Here is a 6008-nt window from a genome sequence, read left to right as displayed (position 1 = left end):
TACACGGAGTGTCAATTTCTCTGAAGTGATGAGTCTCAAGTAATTAGTATAATTTAAAGAATCTAAAGAGAAAGAAACTCTAGCCAAAACTATCATCTTTCCTCTTTGTTTATCTTTCTTTCTTTGTTTTTTGTCAGTATTATTATTTTTTTCGCCCTCTCTCTGACTCCTTAACTATCTTACCTATTAAACATTCTCCTTGGCTTAATTAGAAGACAGGTTCTGTCCCATTTAGTAAAAAGAGTTTATAAATTTACACTTGACCTTTCTTTCTGAGAGGTGACTGTCTAATTGACCAGCGGTCAATCTCTGTTTCTATTGACAATGTTTTTCTGATCCAAAGAGTCATTAAGGGTGAATCAAGAAGCAAGTAATTATAACATGATGATAAAGATAATGATGACAATAAAGATGAAGATACAAAGAGTTTATATGAGTATTTAGTATGCACAGGAAACAGTGTTAAATATTTCCCAAGGGGTGTAAAAAACACAACAGTTCTGTGGTAGGTACACTTAGTGTTCCTATTTTCTCATGACAGGTTTGAGGTTAATACAAATCAAATGATTCTGCTGAATTACTCTGTTAGTAACAGAACCAAAATACAGACCTTAACTAGTCTGAATTGAAATTCCGTGTGCCTACTCCACATTCTGTACTGGCTTGAAAGTGGATTTATGTCATCACATAAGACTTGGAGTACTGGCCAAATTTTGTTTTTGTGGGGACAGATCCAAGGGGCCTCCACAGGTAGTGCAGTTTCCTGGTGGTTCTGCTTTTATAAAGGCATATCTGGAATTACAAGTTTATTCTTGTTCTTTGGATTATTGGGTGTTTGGATTGTTGGATTCTTGGACTCCACAGATAGAAGTTGATAGAATAAAATGCTTGTAATTAATTGGCATAGATGGACTAAAGGGCAAACTACAGTACTTTGAAAGATTACAGGGGCTGCACCCTGGGCCTGCGCCTGGGCCGCGGGCGGGGGGCGACGGACCGCGGGGCGCTCATCTGGCTCTGCTACGACGCGCTGGTGCACTTCGCGCTGGAGAGAGTGGGCAAGACCACGAACCAGGAGAGTGCTGGGGTCCTGGGATCCACAGAATGAAATTTCAAGAACACTGATAAATTGCTGTAGCACCATTAAAAAAAAAGAAAGAAAATAAAAAGAAGGCCCTTTTGTCTACTTGTCTTTAGTAGGAAACGTTGCAAATTCCGATGGCTTGATTGCTTCTTTATGGAAAGAATATGGCAAAGCTGATGCAAGATGGGTTTATTTTGATCCAACCATTGTGTCTGTGGAAATTCTGGCCGTCGCCCTAGATGTGTCTCTGGCATTGTTCCTCATTTATGCCATAGTCAAGGAAAAATATTACCGGCATTTCCTGCAGATCACCCTGTGCGTGTGCGAGATGTATGGCTGCTGGATGACCTTCCTCCCAGAGTGGCTCACCAGAAGCCCCAACCTCAACACCAGCAACTGGCTGGCTGTACTGTTGGCTTTACCTGTTTTTTTTTTAACGGTGTGTGGGTTCTGATCCCAGGACTGCTACTGTGGCAGTCATGGGTAGAACTCAAGAAAATGCATCCGAAAGAAACCAGTTCAGTGAAAAAGTTTCAGTGAACTGTCAAAACCATAAACACCATTATCTAACTTCATGAGCCAGAATGAATCAAATCTTTTTGTTTGGCCAAAATGTAATACATTCCAGTCTACACTTTGTTTTTGTATTGTTGCTCCTGAACAACCTGTTTCAAATTGGTTTTAAGGCGACCAGTTTTCGTTGTGTTGTTGTTCAGTTAAATGGTGATATAGGGAAAAGAGAACAAATTTAAATTTGTAATAATAAAATGTTTAATTATAAAAAAAGATTACAATGGCATCACTGCAGAATAAACAAGGATATAACTTTTCAAGTGGACATTTGTGATTTTAGAACACAATCCAAACTGTACTTTTTTTTTTTTTTTTTTGAGACAAGAGCCTCACTCTGTCACTCAGGCTGGAGCGCAGTGAGGTGATCTTGGCTCACTACAAGCTCCGCCTCCCGGGTTCACGCCATTCTCCTGCTTCAGCCTCCCGCGTAGCTGGGACTACAGGCGCCCGCCACCAAGCTCGGCTAATTTTTTGTATTTTTAGTACAGACAGGGTTTCACCGTGTTAGCCAGGATGGTCTCGATCTCCTGACCTCGTGATCTGCCTGCCTCGGCCTCCCAAAGTGCTGGGATTACAGGCGTGAGCCACCGCTTCCGGCCTTCAAATATTACTCTTTATATTACTTTGACCAATTCAATTCTGCCTCAGTTTCCTTATCACACGCTGATATTTGTTCTGTTTTTTTCTCATGGAGTTGTGAGGCTTAAATAATAGATTGTATATAAAATGCGCAGGTCAATCGCTATGAAAAAGAAACATTCCAAAAACGCTTCTTATCGATTTTCCTTTATCTGTAGAGTATTGGTATTTTTTTTTAGTCACTCTGGGGAAAATGATCTACATTAGACCATCAACAACAAAAAGAGTTACAACAGACACTCTTGTTGTTTATAAAATCCTTCTAGATTTAGCAACATTTCCTTTCTAAATTTAAAAATAGTAAAGACTTATCCAAAGTGGTAAAGATTAATATTCTTCCCTTTATCTCACAAGACCTTGGAACAAGATTACATTTGAGGAGACTTCTTGAGACTCTACCTTGCTCTTAAGACTGAAAAGCTATATATGCATCCCATGCCCTGTTTGGGATGGTTAGATTATCTCACCCTGGTGGGAAATTATAGCAACATATCTGTGTTCTAATTATTCCTTCGATTTTCTCAATGCACTAAAACTGAAGAATATAGTCTTGAGTGGTGGCCAACAGTAAGTCAATGACAGGAAGAGAAGCATAGTATTTCAATACAAAGTTATGCTGATGTTATTTCTGCTGTGTGGAGTGCCTCAACCCCTTGGAGCATGTGATATCATCTTAGAAGACTCCGTTCAAGTGTCACCACCTTCGAAGAGTGTTCCTTAATCCCTCAAAGGAGTATAGAAATGTTTCTACCTTGTTCCTGTAACTGAAAATAATATTGAATAATGGTTAAGTACATATTGAGCACTTTATTATGTGCCAGGCATTGTGCTACTTTGTAAGATACCATGCTTCATTAATCCTTATAAGAATTCCATGCTAAAGACATTATTGCTCTCCATATTTTACTGATGAGAAGATGAAGGCTTAAAGATGTCATGCAGTTTTCCCAAGGTTGCAAACTAGTCTGGGGCTTGCCTGAGAGAAGGTGGATGTGCTTTCCCAGTTGATGCACATATTAGGCTATTCCAGAATATTAATGAAGTCAATTAATCTTTTTATTATAACCTCCTCAATTCTCCGGATGTGTTTGTCAAATACGGAATATTAATAAAGAATTAAAATGCAATATTCTGAATAATTAAACCCACAAAGGCCTGATTTATCTTTAATGCTTTTAATGATATTTTTTAAAAGGGAAACTTTTGATAACGTATGTTTGGGGCAGCATGTGAAGAGATGAACAAGCTGTGCCTTCATATTGTTTATTCTTAGAGGCTGCTGGTGGTAAAGCAAAATGCCAAGGACAATTGATACTGTTAGTAGGATTGCTGAGCGTGTGTGTTTGGTGGTATATTACATTTTTCTTCCTCTGCTAAGTTTTATTTTTGTTCCCTGTTTTCAAAAGTCATGTTCTCAATTGTGCCTTTTTTTGAAAGAAACATTTTAATTTTGAGTTTGTTTTTAATTTTAGCTTTGTATCTATGAAGAATTTACTAGGTTTATACTTTCAAAAATCTTCATTACCAGGTTCAAAGGAATTGCAGTTGTGACAACCAGCATGCATAGCATGAAACTTGCATAAAGAATTATCATAGCAAAAAATAAAATAAAATAAAACAAATATGAAACTAAATGAGCTATCAAACCACAGAAAGATGTTCCACATCTTTTCGTGTTAAGGGTATGTTACTAAGTAAAATAAGACAGCCTAAAAGCTAGGCTACCTGCAGTGTAATTCTATGTATGTAATATTCTGGAAAAGGCAAAACAATGGAGATAGTAAAATGACCATTGGATTTGGGGGAGGGAGGAATAACTATACGGAGTATGGGGAATTTTTAGGCCAGTGAAACTATTCCACAGGATGCTATGGGGTGGATACATATCATTATACATTTGTCAGACTCAAGATGTAAGATGACAGAAAGAGTAAACCATAACACAAACATAACACAATGAGTGAACTATAGTGTATGCTCTGGCCTTTGGTTAATAATGATGTGTCAATTGGTAACGAATGTATCACTCTGGTAGGGAATGTTGATAGTGGAGGAGACTGAGAGAGAGAGAGTAGAGGGGAGAATGTGGGAACTCTATTGCACTTTTCAGTCTGATGTGAATCTAAAACTACTAAAAAATAATGAGTCTATTAAATAAAGTATATTAAAAATGGAGGGAAGGGAATAAAACACAGTAGTTCTTCTTTTTATATTTATTCTATGTCATATGATCCCACTTTGTAACATACTAAAGGAATGTGGTGATAAGAAGTCCAAAGAAACATGTCCAGAAGCAGGAAAACTTGCTGAAAATAGGAAAAATACAAGTCATATTGCTTTTCTTCCTTGTAATACTCACTTCCCCATCTTCCACTACTACTTTCTTGTGCTACAGATCTCAACTGAAATGTTACCAACTTGGAAAGAGGCTGTGTCTGCCCACCCCACCTTGGTGCTAGCATATTAACGTGCTCCAGTTCTCCAACTCACACTTATCACTATCTGTTGTTTTTATATTTATAAATGCCATTTTTTTAATCTGTCTAGATCTTCCTGCCTCACAGTTAAATTCCTTTGAGGCATATTAGACCTGAGTATCTTCATCTTCTTTTCCATCTCACTGTTTTCACTTGGGAGTATTCCAGTCACAAAACACATTTTTGTAATCTTAAACATAAGAAGGACCCTCAAAACAGAAATGAGGCCATTGGACTGAATTTCAAATACAGTCCTATGTAGCAATGATGTTTGCTCAAGCAGCATTGGTTAAGCCAAAATGAGATTTATTCCACTACTAAAAAACACTTATTGTTATATACTATCTGACAAACTTTTGTGTTAGGCACAGGAAATGCAAAAATAAATAAGGCAGGACTACTGAGTCCTCCAAATTCACAATGAAAGATTGGAGAAGGAGGTGTGATTTTATTTGTATAGTAATACATAGTATCAGTTATAATCCAGGCTCATGTTAATGTTGCAAAATGTAAAATTCTGCCACAGACTTCACCACACAGGTAAATTAGTAACAGGCGTTCAAAATTTTGTAGATGCTCAGAAAGCAAAAGAGGGAGGAGTTTTATGAGCAAATGTTACAACACGATCAAAGGCTGAGGGGCGTGACAGCACATGGCTTTTATGGGAAAGACCAGCACTTCAGGGTACCTAAAATGAGAGATGATAACTAAAATGAATACACATCTCTGTTTGCTAAGGGAAGTCCCAGTCAATACCTGTTGTCTTAGATAATTATTAATGAAAGTGTTCTTTTCCATTATAAAAAGTATGTGATCACCTTAATGACAAGGCCAGGAAAGTAGACAAGGTCTGGAGTGTGAGGAGCATGCTATATTATGGTCAAAAGTTTGTGCTTTCTTCCATGAGGACCCAGGTTACTACAATGGGAAATATGATGGCTGGGTAGGATTGTCATTTTTTCATCTATTTTTGTGGGATTTTAAAAGAAAAGTTACTCTAATAACAACACAAATAGTAAAATATACAGGAACTGAGGATCCTCAAGTGATCAGATCAGCACTCTACTGAAAAAAGTAACTAAGCAATAAGACAACATAGACTAAAGCTAAAGCAGAAGTAGTAGAGACAGGGAAGAAAGAATGCATTTAGGGTTATTTCTATGAAAGAATCACTGGGTGTGGGCAAAGGGTGATGACTCCAAGTCTACAGTGTAACTTCTTTATAACCTGAAAGT

The 6008-nt window shown here is 37.5% G+C and overlaps 1 pseudogene; it reads left to right on the top strand.

The window, feature by feature from the left end:
* LOC729217 (EBP like pseudogene) lies at positions 949 to 1864 on the top strand (annotated as a pseudogene).

The sequence above is a fragment of the Homo sapiens genome, chromosome 16, assembly GCF_000001405.40.
Source record: "Homo sapiens chromosome 16, GRCh38.p14 Primary Assembly".
Classification (NCBI taxonomy): Eukaryota; Metazoa; Chordata; class Mammalia; order Primates; family Hominidae; genus Homo; species Homo sapiens.
This window is presented reverse-complemented; position numbering and strand designations above follow the sequence as displayed.